The sequence below is a fragment of the Homo sapiens genome, chromosome 11, assembly GCF_000001405.40.
Source record: "Homo sapiens chromosome 11, GRCh38.p14 Primary Assembly".
NCBI classification, from domain to species: Eukaryota; Metazoa; Chordata; class Mammalia; order Primates; family Hominidae; genus Homo; species Homo sapiens.
The window spans coordinates 67,000,523-67,016,431 of NC_000011.10; the positions used below are offsets into that span (position 1 = coordinate 67,000,523).

The following is a 15,909-nucleotide window of genomic DNA, read 5'->3' on the forward strand; positions in this document are numbered from 1 at the left end:
AAAGTGCTGGGATTACAAGCGTGAGCCACTGCGCCCGGCCTATAATTTTTTTTTTAACCCAGTAGAAAACAATCCAGCAGGAAAATGGGCAAAGGAAGGAAATGGCAAGTTCACAGAGGAGGAGACAAACAGGTCAATACGCACATGAAGAGATGCCTGACCACCCTGTCATCAAAGAATGCAAATGAAAACAACAATAAACCATCATTTCTCCCAATGAGATTGGTAAAAGTTAGAGAAAATTGATGACGTCCCGTGTTGAAGAGGGCATGGGGAAATGAGTGGTGTAGGCAGATAAAATGGTACCACCTTTGGAGGAGGCAATTTGGCTATAAGTTTTCTTTTCTTTTTCTTTTTTCTTTTTTTTCTTTTTTTGTGAGACAGAGTCTTGCTCTGTTGCCCAGGCTGGAGTGCAGTGGCACGATCTTGGCTCACTGCAACCTCTGCCTCCCTGGTTCAAGCAATTCTCATGCTTCAGCCTCTGAAGTAGCTGGGACTATAGGAGTGTGCCACCAAGCAACAAGGGGACCAAAGAAATCATTGCTCAGCTTTGGGTTTGACCTGATCTGCACCATGCCTGGCTAATTTTCGTATTTTTAATACAGACGGGGTTTCACTGTGTTGACCAGGCTGGTCTCGCTCTCCTGACCTCGTGATCCACCTGCCTCAGCCTCCCAAAGTGCTGGGATTACAGGCATGAGCCATCACGCCCAGCCTATGACTTTTAAGATAAAAATGCACATACCCAGTGTGTTCCTTGCTGCATTATTTGTAATAACAAAAATCAGAAACAACCTTAGTCCATCAATAGGAGACTAGGATGCACATACACAATGAAATACTCTGCGAATGACGAAAAAGCCTGAGGCGCGTTTACAGTGCAAATAGAGCAATGATCCCCGTTAACACTGTGCAGCACTCATGTGCCAGCCTCTCTCAAAATGTAATTTTCACAACTCTGTGAGTTAATTACTATTATTATCCCCATTTTACAGATGAGAAAAACTGAGGCAGAGAGGGGTTAAGTAACTTTTTCAAGATTGCACACTTAATAAATAGCAGAGTGAGGATTTGAACCCAAGTAAGCTGCTTTAAACAACAACAGGCTGGGTGCAGTGGCTGAGGCCTGTAATCTCAACACTTTGGGAGGCCAAGGTGGGAGGACCCCTTGAGTCCAGGAGTTCAAAACTAGCCTGGGCAATATGGTGAGACACCCATCTCTACCAAAAAAAAAAATTTTTTTTAATTAGCTGGACATGGTGGTACACACCTGTAGTCGCAGCTACTTGGAAGCCCGAGGCAGAAGGATCTCTTGAGCCTGGAAGGTTGAGACCAGCCTGGGCAACATAGCAAGACACTGTCTCTACAAAAAAGAAAAAAAAATTAGCCGAGCATGGTGGCACATGCCTGTAGTCCCAGCTACTTGGGAGGCTAAGGAGGGAGGATCCTTTGAACACAGGAGTTCGAGGCTACAGTGAGCTATCATCACGCCACTGCACTCCAACCAGGGTGATGGAGTGAGGCCCTGTCTCACAAAAATAAAAATAAAAACCACGACCACCAACTATATACACTCTCACACACACACACACACACACACACACACACACACACGTACTCACACACACGTACCCACACAAATCCGTGTGCATATGCTTACATATATGCAAATACATAAACAACACCTGAAAGGTCTCCACAGCCCAGCAACCTGATAAGCATCTTACCTTTCCAGGGCAAAGCGGGAGGATGGGGGAGTGGATAAGACTTTGACGGATCTGCATGAACGAGTATTATTTTGATTCTGTGGGGTTTTTTTGTGTTTTTCCTTTCATTCCTCTCTTCCCTGCAGCTGCCCCACCCGCAGCACAGAGACACTGGCCACTGGACCAGCTCTCCCAGCACTACCTCCTGGGAGGGCGGATGCAGGGGAACAAAGAAGTCGTTGCTAAGCTATGCTTTTCAAATTAGACTTTTTCAAAGCCCACAGCAGGAACAATGGCCTTGAGAACAAGCCTCCCATGTAGGAGCCTTTCATGGCTGGGCTGTTGAGGGAGAAGAGGTTTGTTGAGAAAAGAGCTACAGGCTCACAGCCAAAGGTGTACAGCAGCCACATAGGAATAGAAGAAGCTGGGGGCAGGTAGGCACATTTTCCTGTTTCTGAGGTAGCCTGAGGCCTTGCCCCAACCCGACATTCTCTCCATGCTCACCTCCCCGGGCCCTGCCCCCGGGAGTGCTGAGTGCCTTCAAGCCCCTGGGAGAATAACTTAGCCATGCCCGAAAAACCAGAAATAAAAAAATAAAACCAGAAAGGTCAGGAGGCTGAGTCTGGGTCCTCAGGCCTCAGGAAACTGCAGGGGGACCCCTGCCACCACCCTTGTATCCCATGGAGACGGAAGGGCTTCTAAATGTTTCTCGAGCCTCATAAGGATGGGAGAGGGTTGCAGGACTAGAGGACCTGGCACCAGGAAGGGAGGCCGCTGCCCGCCCTCATGTGGCCTGCCTACCTGTTAACAGAGGTCTCGTCAGACCCTGGCCAGCAGGGACAAAGGCCAATGTCCAGGAGCTGAGAGGCAAGAGGCCCTCAGGGGAAGGACAGAGAAAGGTGTGGGGACTAGGTGCCCCCTTCCTAATGTTAGGACCAACTTAAACCTGCGGTGCTTGGCTCTGCCCTGGCACAAGAGGATAAGGGGCAGGGAGAAAAACTGGTTTCATGAAATTCAGTGGGTTGACAAAATACAATAGAATCAAATCAAGTAACAGAGTATTACTTTATGAAACTTTTGCTACATGATTATTGATTAAATGTTGTGCTGGTTTCAAAGTGCACTGGATTTCCCACTGTTAGTCAAGGCCAAAAATATGGGAAAAATTTTCTCAAAGACTACAAAAAGTCTCTGTGTAGGTCAGGCTGGTGAGATGAGTTTGGTTATTAGAGAGTTAGAAAAGGTTACGTTTTTCATACCAATTCTTATCTTTAGGATCTTAAACTACAGCCATTTGTTTGATTTTTGGCACAGTGAGGATATAAGTGTATTACTTCTGTAATTTAAAAATGTTACTGGCCTTGTTCGGTGGCTCACACCTGTAATCCCAGCACTTTGGGAGGCCAAAGTGGACAGATCACCTGAAGTCAGGAGTTCGAGACCAGCCTGACCAACATGGCGAAACCCTGTCTACTAAAAATGCAAAAATAATTAGCCAGGAGTGGTGGCAGGTGCCTGTAATCCCAGCTACTCCGGGAGCCAAGGCACAGAACTGCTTGAATTCGGGAGGCAGAGGTTGCAGTGAGCTGAGATCACGCCACTGCACTCCAGTCTGAATGACAGAGCAAGACTGTCTCAAAATAAATAAACGAATAAATAAATAAATAATGTTACTGAATGCCCCTGACATCAAAAATGGACTAGTGGTTCCAACAGGCACAAGGTTGGCCATTGTGATAGGGGATGGTAGGAGCTCTAATTGGTTAAGATAAAGGCATATATAAAGGACTCTGAACCCAGCCATGGGGGCAACGGGCAGTGGGTAGAAATGGCATGTGAGATGAAGAGGGGTCTCAGCCGAGTTGAGTATGAGTTAGGCAGATGGGGAAAGCACTATCGAGGCAGATGACAAAGTTCTGGAGGGCATGAGATCTCCCTGTCCAGTGGAGTACAGTGTGTAGCCCCATCCTCCTCCAGGCTGGCCCTAAAATGCTGTGTCAAACAAGGTCCATGATAGACTGGGTAGGGCAGGCAAGTGTCCAAAGCAAGGTAACCAGAGGTCAACCCCAAAGGGCAGTGCCACCAGGGAGATCCAAGGCATGGGCACCGGGCGAGGCATAGGGTGCAAGGTCGGTGTTAGGACTTCATGTGTCCCCCAAAATCCACGTTAAAGCTCTACCCCAATGTGACTATTTTTGGAAATAAGGCTTTTCAGAGGTAATTAAGGTTAAACAAGGTCATAAGAGTGGGGCTCTAATCCAACAAGACTGGTGTCCTTATAAGAGGAAGAGGCGGCCGGGCGCGGTGGCTCACGCCTGTAATCCCAGCACTATGGGAGGCCGAGGCGGGTGGATCACAAGGTCAGGAGATCGAGATCATCCTGGCCAACATGGTGAAACCCCGTTTCTACTAAAAATACAAAAATTAGCTGGGCGTGGTGGCTCGTGCCTGTAATCCCAGCTACTCGAGAAGCTGAGGCAGGAGAATCACTTGAACCAGGGAGGCGGAGGTTGCAGTGAGCCGAGATCGCACCACTGCACTCCAGCCTGGCAACAGAGCAAGACTCTGTCTCAAAAAAAAAAAAAAAAGAAAAGAAAGAAAGAAAAGAAAAGAAAAGAAAAAAAAAAGGAAGAGGCTCCACGAGGCAAAGAGAAAAAGGCCAGGTGAGGACATAGGGGAGGGCAGCCCTCTACAAGCTAGGAAGAGGGCAGAAACCAACCCTGATGGCATCTTGATCTTAGATTTCCAGTCTCCAGAGCTGTGAGAAAATAGATTTTTGCTGTGTAAGCCATCCAGTCCACGCTGTTTTGTTATGGCAGCCCCAGCAGACTAATATTGTCAGGTTGGGAATAATGACTCAAGATGGCTCAAGGAGAAAGGCAGGACCAGGTATATAATTTGCAGGGCCTCGTGCCAAATGAAAACGCTGGACTCCCTGTTCAAAAATTATTGAGAATTTCAAGGCACTTTGGGAGGCTGAGGCAGGAGGATCGCTTGAGCCCAGGAGTTTGAGACCAGCCTGAGTAACACAGTGAGATCTCATCTCTACAAAAAATTTTTTAATTAGCTGGGTGTGGTGACACGCACCTGTTGTCCCAGCTACTCAGGAGGCTGAGGCAGGAGGATCCCTTGAACCCAGAAGGTTGAGACTGCAATTGTCAGAGGTGTTTGAACCAGAGCAACTCCATCTTGAGTAGGGGCTTGGTAAAATAAGGCTGAGACTTACTGGGCTGCATTCGCAGGAGGTTAAGGCATTCTTAGTCACAGGATGAGACAGGAGGTCGGAACGAGATACGGGTCATAAAGACCTTGTTGATAAAACAGGTTGCAGTAAAGAAGTCGGCAAAAACCCACCAAAACCAAGATGGCGATGAGAGCGGCCTCTGGTCGTCCTCACTGCTACATTCCCATCAGCGCCGTGACAGTTTACAAATGCCATGGCAATGCCAGGAAGTTACCCTATGTGGTCTAAAAAGGGGAGGCATGAGTAATCCACCTCTTGTTTAGCATATAATCAAGAACTAATCTCATGCCTGTAATCTCAGCACTTTGGGAGGCCGAGGCAGCCAGATCACTTGAGATCAGGAGCTCGAGACCAGCCTGGCCAACATGGTGAAACCCTGTTGCTACTGAAAATACAAAAAATTAGCCAGGTATGGTGGTGCACACCTGTAATCCAGCTACGCAGGAGGCTGAGACAGGAGAATTGCTTGAACCCGGGAGGCGGAGGTTGCGGTGAGCCGAGATCGTGACACTGCATTCTAGCCTGGATGACATAGTGGGACTCCTTCTCAAAAAAAAAAAAAAAAAAAAGGACCGTAAAAATGGGCAACCAGCAGCCCTTGGGGCTGCTCTGCATATGAAGTAGTCATGCTTTTGTTGCTTTACTTTCTTAATAAACTTGCTTTCACTTTATAGACTCGTCCCAAATTCTTTCTTGTGCAAGATCCAAGAACGTTCTCTTGGGGTCTGGACTAGGACCCATATCCGGTAACACCATGGGCGGTGATTGCGCCACTCAACTCTAGCCTAGAGCAACAGAGCTAGACCCTGTCTCGACAAAAAAAAAAAAAAAAAAAAAAAAAAAAAAAGAGAGAGAGAGAGAGAATTTTAAGACAGCAACAGCAGAGCATTAACCATGTACTGGGCCCTGTGTGCAAGCTCAGGTTTTACACCTGTGAAGCCAATCCTAAAGAGAGGTTCAGGATGGAGGCCTTGAACTAGATACAGAGGTCAGGGGTCCGTGTTTAATGCAGGCTGGAGTCCTCATATGTGCTCATGCACAGAGGTAGGCACGCATATAACCAGTTCAAACAGCAAGCAGAACACAAGCAGAGACAGGAAAAGCGAAGTGAAGAATGAGCAGCCATCAGAGATGCATTCTTAGCTGTCACTATCCCTCACTCTACCCCTTGTCAAGGGAAGGCTTCGGCAGCCATGTTCGTATGTATCACGTGACCCCCTCTCTCGGTCACTGTGGGTTGGAGGAGGGCTGATCACCTGACCCAAGTTAGCCAATCAGAGCTCTCTCCTGACACTGGCTCAGGTTGAAGTTCTAGAAAATGTTAATTGGGGGAGCTGTGGCTGGCAGAGAAGGAAAAAGGAAGCTGAAGGGCACTTGGGCTCATAATGGTCTCTCCAACCCTGATCCTGTCCTTTATGGACATTTGGCAGCGCTGCTGCCTTGAGGTGCCTTGCAATGCTTTATCTTTTTGTTAAAGCCACCTCTGTTGCTTCAGCCAGCTTGAGCGGTTTTCTGTTACTTGCTAGTGGTTGGGAAGGCTTAGCCGACGAAGGGAAAATGAGTCAGGTCCTGAAGGATGAGCAAGTTACGGGAGTGGGCCGCATGGTGAGGGAGTGGACTTCCTGATGGGGTTAAGGGCGCCTGAACACCTGGGAGGCAAGTTGAGGCCAAGACCTGGGGTGATGGAGAGGCAGGGTAGGCTACCCAGTGAGTAGGAGGCCGAAGGAACCACAGCAGGGCTCCAGATCTCCTGGCCCAGAGGGGCTGGTACGGGAAGCCCAGAAGACACTCATCCCTAAGGGGAGCCTGAGACTGAGGAACTCTCATGCCCTGCGTCGGGCTCGTGGGCGAAGGGCCTTCCCAGGGACTGCACCATGGCCTGTCCCCAGCCTTACCCAGGGGCCTCCCTCTCAGGTTCTGAAGGACCCAGGGGTCACAGCTGTGTGGGGTGCTCCACTGAACACTTCCTTCAAACTCCTTCAGGTTTGCTATTTTTATCTGCGGAGTTCTCAGTTCCTGAGTGGGAGGCAATAATAAAAGGGAGTGGGTGGGGAGGAGGAATTCGTATATTTCTTTTCTTATTTATTTATTTATTTATTTGTTTATTTTGAGACAGAGTTTCACTGTTGTTGCCCGGGCTGGAGTGCAACAGGGCGGCCTCGGCTCACTGCAACCTCCGCCTCCCGGGTTCAAGCGATTCTCCTGCCTCAGCCTCCAGAGTAGCTGGGCTTACAGGCATGTGCCACCATGCCCAGCTAATTTTGTATTTTTAGTAGAGACGGGGTTTCCCTACATTGGCCAGCCTGGACTTGAACTCCTGAACTCAGGTGATCCACCCTCCTTGGCCTCCCGAAGTGCTGGGATTACAGGTGTGAGCCACTGCACCCGGGCCTATTTTTTAAAAAGTGGATTTGGAAAGAGGGTTTTTTCCTTTTCATTTTTGACAAGGAGCACTTCCTTCCTGATCCTGAGGAAGCCCTAACTTTTTTTTTTTTTTTTAAGACAGAGTCTCGCTCTGTCACCCAGGCTGGAGTGCAATGGCCTGATCTCGGCTCAGTGCAACCTCCGCCTCCCGGGTTCAAGCGGTTCTCCTGCCTCAGCCTCCCGAGTAGCTGGGACTAGAGGCGCGTGCCACCACGCCCAGCTAATTTTTGTATTTTTAGTAGAGACAGGGTTTTGCCATGTTTGCCAGCCTGGTCTTGAACTCCTGAACTCACGTGATCCGCCTGCCTCAGCATCCCAAAGTGCTGAGATTACAGGCTTGAGCCATCACACCCGGCCAGGAAGCCCTTCTTAATCTGATTTTTCCTCCTTTCAGTTCTTTTATTCACTGCTTATTCATCAACTCTTTACTATTACTTGTTACTATTGGTTTGAATCCCACCTCTGTCACCTGCTGGTGTTTATTCTTGGCTACATTTCTTCTTTTTTTTTAGAGACAAGTTCTTGCTCTGTTGCCCAGGCTAAGTGCAGTGTCGTGATCATAGCTCTTTGCAGCCTCAACCTCTGGTGCTCAAGTGATCCTCCCACCTTGGCCTCCAGAGTATCTAGGACTACAGGTGTGAGATGGCTACATCTCTCTTTTTTTTTCTTTTTGAGACAGAGTCTCACCCTGTTGCCCAGGCTAGAGTGCAATGGCATGAGCTCGGCTCACTGCAACCTCCACCGCCTGGGTTCAAGTGATTCTCCCACCTCAGCCTCCTGAGTAGCTGGAATTACAGGCATGCGGCATCATGCCTGGCTAATTTTTGTATTTTTGTAGAGACGGGGTTTCAACCATGTTGGTCATGAACTCCTGACCTCATGTGATCTGCCTGCCTCAGCCTCTCAAAGTGCTGGGAGTACAGGCGTGAGCCACTGCACCCAGCCTGGCTACATTTCTTAACCTCTCTGTACCTCAGGTTCCGAATGTGTAACCTGTGGGCTGATAAAGGAACCTTGGTGATAGAGAGTCCTGGGAGGATTGAATGAGCCAATATGTGTAATGCACTGAGAATGGTGCCAGGTATATAAGGACTTCATGCATGTGGGTTCTTGGGGCTTTTGTTGTTGTTTTGAGACAAGGTCTGGCTCTGTCGCCCAGGCTAGAGTACAGTGCATCTTGGCTCCCTGCAACCTCGCCCTCCCAGGCCCAAGCGATCCTCTACCTCAGCCTCCCGAGTAGCTGAGACCGCAGGCATGTGCTACCACGCCTAGCTAATTTTTGTATTTTTTGTAAAGATGGGGTCTCACTTTGTTGTCTAGGCTGGTCCTGAACTCCTGCGCTTAAGTGATCCCCATGCCTTGGCCTCCTGAAGTGCTGGGGTTACAGGCGTGAGCCACTGTGCCCCGACCTTGATTGATTTTTTTTCTTTTTTTTGAAAAAGGCTTGAGGGCAGTGGCTCGATCTTGGCTCTGCAACCTGTACCTCCCAGGCTCAAGCAATTCTCATGCCTCAGCCTCCCAAGTAGCTAGGACTACAGGTATGTGCCCCCACACCTGGCTAACTTTTGTATTTTTAGTAGAGACTGGGTTTCACCATGTTGGCCAGGCTGGTCTCGAACTCCTGGCCTAAAGTGATCCACCCACCACAGCCTCCGAAAGTGCTGGGATTATAAGCGGGAGCCATTGTGCCCAGCCCCAGCCCTTGATTTAAATACTGACAAAACACCTGCTATATGCTGGGCCTGAAGGCTAAAGAGATGAATAAGACACCTCATGTCTGCTTCAAGTTCCCAGCATCTAGTAGGAACAGACACAGGAACAAATAATTCCAGGACAGACACTATAAATGTGTTAGAAGGAGAGTCCAGCTATTGTGGGAAAGGGGAGTGAGTGGCTTGCTGGAGCATTTATGGAAGTCTTCATGGGAGAGTTTTTTTTGTTTGTTTGTTTGTTTTGAGACGGAGTCTCGCTCTGTCGCCCAGGCTGGAGTGCAGTGGCGCGATCTCAGCTCCATGGGAGAGAGTTTGAAAGGATGAAGAGTTTACATCCTCTGGAAAGAAGCAAATAGAAGGCATTCCAGGCAAAAGGAACTGCATCGAGTAAAAGCATGGAGGCAAGAAAGGGCTTGGTGTGTTTGAGAAACAGTGAGTAGGGCATGGTGGTGGCAGAAGCTTAAAGTGTATGGCCCGTGGACAGTGACAGCCGGACAAGAAGCTGAAGTGACAGGTGAGAAAACACTGAAACCATCTGACCTTTGATTTCTGGCTTTACGGAGACATGTAGAGAAAAGGTTTTGTCCCTCCCAGGCTAGAAAAAGACAGAACTGAGTCCTAGGGATTACCCTGAAGCAGCATCTCCACTCATCCACTCTGCCCCACAGCAACATCTGTGCCATTTCTCTCCCAGACTCCCTCATGGTGAGCCGGGTGGTGACAGTGTGACTTCTGGAGCGAGCCACCTTGCCCAGGTCCAGGCTCCAGCTCTAACATGCTGGGCCCCAAGGGCTGGGCAGGAGAGATTGCAGCCAAGACAGGGGTAGTGTCCAGACAGTGGACAACATGATGTAGCCAAGCCCCAGTAACCCTCGGGTCCCCCCACCCCTCCCTGGGCTCTGTGCCCAACCCTGAGCTCATGCCCCTTCATCTTGCCAGGCCTGTTCCAGCTCCATCTTAACTGGCTGCCCAGTACCCTGCTGGTGACACCTGCCACCACCTCCAAATGCCTTCTGTGGCTGCCCTACATCCTGCTTATGCCAGTGAGGCCCTGGGACCTGTCCCTAGGCAGCCTGGGAAAGGGCAGCTTCCAGCTGTGGCTCAGAGCCTGGGGAGGGGTCAGGAGATGCGTTCCTGTGGTTCTTCTGGTTGTCCTGTGTGAACAGGCGTCTGTCGCTGATGGTGCCCACACCTTTTTTTGTCTTGACTCCTAGAACAAGTTGAACCAAAGGAATTCCAGACCTGGGAAAGTGGAGAAAGAATTTTGGGGTCAGAGCCGTTTAAGACTTTGCCTAGGGCCTGGGTCTTCTTTCTCCTAAAGGCCTCAACCCACAGCACGCCACACAAATATGTCACATAACACACAAACAAACATCATATTTCACAGTAAGTAGAATTCTTTATCACACTATATTCAGGTGCAGTATTCTAGTTGACAACGTATTTGTGCACGGTCAATATTAACTTTAGCTAGGTGCAGTAGAACCTACCTGTAGCCCCAGCTTCTTGGGAGGCTGAGGGGGAGGGTCATCTGAGCTCAAGAGTTTGAATCCAGCCTGGGCAACATAATGAGATCCCCATCTCTAACAAAATGAAATGAAATAATAAAGTGTATGTATATTAACTTTGACTTTCTTTTCTTTTTTGTTTTGAGACGGACTTTTGGTCTTGTCACCCAGGTTGGAATGCAATGGCACGATCTTGGCTCACTGCAATCTCCACCTCCTGGGTTCAAGCAATTCTCCTACCTCAGCCTCTTGAGCAGCTGGGATTACAGGCGCGTGCCACCATATCCAGCTAATTTTTGTATTTTTAGTAGAGATGAGGTCTCACCATGTTGGTCAGGCTGATCTCGAACTCCTGACCTCAGGTGATCCGCCCGCCTGGGCCTCCCAAAGTGCTGGATTACAGGCGTGAGCCACTGTGCCCGGCCTGATTTTCTTTTCTTATTTGGAAGCCAATCATTGTCCCCAGATGGCAGGCATTGCCGGCTCTTTCCACACTGGGTCTGAGGCAGTAGGCTATGAAAACGCTTCCACAGAGGCTCTTGGTATCTGCCCAGTTTCCTCTGCTTGGACTGTCTTTTCCCACCCACCTTGCCTGGCTGATGCCTGATCATCCTTCAGGTCTTGGTTTTGTTTTTTGTTTGTTGTTTGGTTTTTGTTTTGTTTTTTTGAGACAGAGTCTTGCTCTGTCGCCCAGGCTGGAGTGCAGTGGCACAATCTCGGCTCACTGCAACCTCTGCCTCCCGGGTTCAAGCAATTCTCCCATCTCAGCCTCCCGAGTAGGTGGGATTAATGGCGCCCACCACCACGTCCGGCTAATTTTTTATTTTTAGTAGAGACAGGGTTTCACCATGTTAGCCAGACTGGTCTCAAACTCCTGACCTTGTGATCCACCCACCTCGGCCTCCCAAAGTGCTGGGATTACAGGCGTGAGCCACTGCGCCCGGGCCAGGTCTTGGTTGAAAAGTCGCCTCCAGCCAGGCATGGTGGCTCACACCTGTAAGCCCAGCACTTTGGGAGGCCGAGGCGGGCGGATCACCTGAGGTCAGGAATTCGAGACCAGCCTGGCCAACATGGCGAAACCCTGTCTCTACTAAAAATACAAAAATTAGCCAGGCGTGGTGGTGTGTGCCTGTAATCCCAGCTACTGGGGAGGCTGAGGCAGGAGAATCGCTTGAACCCGGGAGGCGGAGGTTGCAGTGAGCTGAGATTGCACCACTGCACTCCAGCCTGGGTGATAGAGCGAGGCTCCATCTCAAAAAATTTTTAAAAATAATAATAAATAAATAAAAGTCACCTCCTCCAAGAAACCCTCTCTGAAGCTCTCCCACCTCAGACTGACTGAGCTATCCCACCTTTGTGCTGCCACATCACACTGCCTTGTCACTTCTTGGCTACGAGTTGGCCTCTTCCATCAGATTATGAGTCCAAGAGGGTAGGGTCTGTCTCATTCATTGGCCCTCAGACCAGCATCCTTCTTAAAATGTAAGTGCTTATAAATATCAGCAGGGAAACGAGGCAAAAGAACCTTGAAGTCAGCACTGGGGCTGGTTCTGTGTCCACCTTAAAATGCTAAGAGCTGTCACATTTCAGGGTCTCATTTCAGCGTCTCACTCATCTAGGAGGTTGGCACGGTTATTAACTACATTTTGCAGTTGAGGAAACTGAGGCACAGAGAAGGTAAGAAACTAATCCAAGGTCACACAGTGACTTTAGTGTTCTTAACCACACGTGCTGTGTCAGAGATTTAGCATGAAGTAACCACACACTGAAAGGGGGCTGTTGTGTTTCTTCCTTCAAATGGAGGGGACTGTGAAGAGAGAAGGCTTTTGAAACCTGGGGGGGGTCATCCTTTCCTTTGGGAGGAGGTTGGGAATCTGCCCGTCATTCCTGAGTTCCAGATCTCCAGGAGTGAGTCCCTGTCCTCACAGGTGCAGGCCCCAGAGTCCGGAAGGAAAGTGGGTATAAGTGGCTTGAGCCGGATCAATTCAGTGTAATTGACACGCAGAGTGGGGAGGAGCAGCTCAGCCAGGCAATATGTAGTGTCTCAGGTTGCAAAGGGGTCTTCAGGGACCACCCATAACATAACTTAGTTGGGGCTAGGATCCCTACCAGGCACTTTTATTTACATATCTCCCTTGATGGGGAGCTTGCCCCAACTCGGGGTCATTTTCACTGTGGGGGCCCTGGCCATGCAAGCTCTTGTGTCTGCCGAGCTGATACCTGCCTCCCTGCAGCTTCCTCAGGGTGCTGGTCCTCAGGGCGCTGGTGCTCAGGGCCTGGCAGGGTTGCACCTTCTCCCCTTTCTCCCTGCAGCCCTTCCAGGAACTGAGTGAGCGTCTGGGCCTTTCTCGTCTTCAGCCAGGGCTCCTGCCTCTCTCCTCTTTGTCCCAGCCCCAACCCTGACAGTCAAGGCCTTTAGTCCTTGAGCCCATCCCATTCACCCTTCGAGGCTCCTGGCCCACAAGCCCCCTCCCTGGGCCAGGATCCCACCAGCCAGTTACCTTGTTACTGAATGGATCCTCCCCTGTCTGTGTGTCTTCTCAGGAGGTTACAGGCCCCTGTCAAGTGTGGCCCCCGGCGCAGGGCCTCCCTGCCCTCCACTCAGCTGCAGTCTGCTCAGCGCCCTTAGCACAGGCTGGGGCTAATGCCGTCTGCGTTCCTTTCCTGGGGCTGCCATGACACATTACTGCAAATTTGGCAGCTTACAAAACCAGAAATTAATTCTCTCATAGTTCTGGAGGCCAGAGCCCAGAATCAAGGTGTTGGCAGGGCTGGTTCCCTCCAGACGCTCTCCGGGAGAATCCATCCCAGGCCTCTTTCCCAGCTTCCGGGGGCTGCCAGCAACCCTTGATATTCCTTGGCTGAGGGTTTCATAACTCCAGCCCCTGCCTCCGTCTCCACGTGGCCTTCTTCTCTCTGTGCCTTCATGGCTGAGATGTCCCTGTTTTCTTTCTTATAAGGACACCACCCATCGCATGTAGGACCCACTGTAAATCTAAAGTGATTACAGCTTGAGATCCTTCACTTAATTACATCTGCAAAGACCCTATTTTCAAAAAAGATGACATTCGCAAGTGCTAGGTGTTAGGACTCAGATGTATCTTTTTGGGGGGTCACAAGTCAACTTGCTGCAACCATCCCATCAGCCTAGATGTGTGTAGATGTGTCCGGGATCAGGGAGGGTGTCCCTTCACCTCCACATCCCATGGAAAGTGCTCATTGGAAGGAGTGAAGATCTTGTTAATGAGTTTGATGACTGTGAATCCAAGCAGCACGCCCAGAGCAGATGCCTGGGGTAGCTGAGTATGAGGGCGGGGAACAGGCGAGGACCCACAGATCCAAGGGCTGGCTTCCCTGACGCACCCAGCACCAGCTTCTCTGGAGAGGGTTGGAGAAGCGGCTCCTGCCGGGCTGCCCTCTGCCAGGCACTGAGGCCGGTCTGTGAGCCAGGCAGGGGACCCAGCAACTGGGAGCTTGGGGCCTTGTGGGTGAGACCCAGACTGGACAATAAGGGGCTGAGGGATCACAGTGGAGGTAGGACTGGGGTGGAGGTGGGGGTAGCAGGCAGGCCCCAAGGCTGTTTTGACTGATTTGGAGGCAGCCTTGAGGCATGGCATGGGGGTCTGAGAACCCAGAGGGGCCTAGGTGCCCTGGCTGGCTGTCCGTGGCCCACAAACCTGGCCAGGTTCCCTGTCCTGCCCTCCAGGGCAGCAGGGATCCTCGTGGCCTCCTTACTACCACTCTCGACGCTCCCTGGAGGCTGGTGGCAGTCAGGCTGCCTTGGGTATATGCAGGGTGGCTGGAATGAAGTAAAAAAAAAAAAATTATTTTTCACAGTAAAATATTCCTGCATCACGTAGCTCCCGCCACAAACTACTTAAAAGACAGCTGCTTTCTTTGTCTAGTGCCAAACTTTCTAGATGCAAGTCCGCTGAGCCGGTGTGCACCTTAAATAAACTCCTTCACCCAATTCGGTCTCTCTGGCCCCTTACTTTCCCACAACAATGGGAGATCCCTGCCTTGCATCCAGAGCCGCGGCTCCTTCTTAAGCTTCCCCCAACCAAGGGGATCCCGGTGACAGGTGGAAAGGCAGCGCAGGTGTCTTGTGGAAGTAGAGACCAGTAGTCCCTGGGCAGGGGGTCGCAACAGGAGGGCAGGGCGGCCAAGGCCAATGCTGGGAGAGCAAGTCCCTGCCACCCCTGCTGGCCTCAGCCTGGCCCCATGAGTGCTGGCCTCCAATGCAGGCCCAGCTCCTCAGCATCCTCTCTGCACCCCACAGGCTGCTCTCCAATGATCTGTGCTATGGACAGCTGCTTCCAGGGGCCACATCTTTACCCTGGTGTGGAGGCGGTGGTGGGGGGTTGTGGCATGATGGGAGTCCCAGCTGGGAACAAAGGGAAGGGAAAGGGAAGGGCTTTCTCTCCTCGGGAGAGAAAAGCGCTCAGGACTTGGAGCCAGGACTGGTGGGCTGCACATGGCCAGGCCCAGGGATTTTCGCTGTCCTGGACGTGGATTCCTCCTTAGCAATAAGAGTTAGAAACAGCATCGCCTTCATGGCGTCAAGGAGGTAATGAATATGGAGAGGGTTTGGGACATGTGTGACACTTCCCAGCTGTTGTGGCTTTCACTGCTAAAATCCCTTCATATGGTAAACGCTGGGATCTTCGTAAAGCTCCTTCACGTTCATAGCCAGAAGCCATGTGAGTGCAGGAGGGTCCACAGCCTCTCCCTCCTCCCTTGCTGGGAAGGAGGACTCTGGATCTCAGGAGGCTGGGAGCAGGAGGAAGGGGGTTTGAGAAGCCAGAGGCCTGGCCAGGTCACACTGGGAAGGCCAGTGGGCTCATGCTAGAGAAAAATATCATACACGAAAAGATGATGGGAGGGCCAGGCATGGTGGCTCATGCCTGTAATTCCAGCACTTCGGGAGGCTGGGGTGGGCAGATCACCTGAGGTCAGGAGTTCGAGACCAGCCTGACCAACATGGTGAAACCCCATCTTTACTAAGAATACAAAAATTAGCCGGGAGTGGTGGCACACACCTGTAATCCCAGCTACTTGGGAGGCTGAGGCATGAGAATAGCTTGAACCCAGGAGATGAAGGTTGCAGTGAGCCGAGATCGCACCGCTGCACTCCAGCCTGGGCGACAGAGTGAGATTTCTGTCTCATTAAGAAAATAAATAAATAAATAAAAGATGTTGCGGGAGGGAAGTGGGCTGCTGAGAAGGCGTGAACTGAGGGCCTGGGAAGGAGCTTGGAGCTGGGGCAGAGAGAAATTTGGGGAGCAGCAGACATGGGTAAGAGACTATGGGAAGAA

The 15,909-nt window shown here is 50.6% G+C and overlaps 1 protein-coding gene across 2 annotated transcripts in view, besides 1 other annotated feature; it reads left to right on the forward strand.

Moving 5' to 3' along the window:
- Nucleotides 1,680-2,339: an enhancer, noted in NCBI's record as "OCT4-NANOG-H3K27ac-H3K4me1 hESC enhancer chr11:66769673-66770332 (GRCh37/hg19 assembly coordinates)". NCBI's record gives its function as "activates a minimal SCP1, AML or CMV promoter by ChIP-STARR-seq in naive H9 embryonic stem cells {active_cell/tissue: H9 hESC(naive)}" and the evidence as "EXISTENCE:reporter gene assay evidence [ECO:0000049][PMID:30033119]".
- SYT12 (synaptotagmin 12) overlaps nt 6,249-15,909 on the forward strand; it is a 44,093-nt gene continuing 34,432 nt past the window's right edge. Inside the window, exons 1-3 of one of the 2 annotated variants that reach the window (XM_011545346.4) lie at nt 6,249-6,933; nt 9,357-9,600; nt 10,301-10,472. In XM_011545346.4, the coding sequence (XP_011543648.1) occupies nt 10,436-10,472 (37 nt within the window). In that variant the 5' untranslated portion in view covers nt 6,249-6,933; nt 9,357-9,600; nt 10,301-10,435. The remainder of the gene's footprint in view (nt 6,934-9,356; nt 9,601-10,300; nt 10,473-15,909) is intronic. The other variant, XM_006718737.5, reaches the window with a different exon arrangement.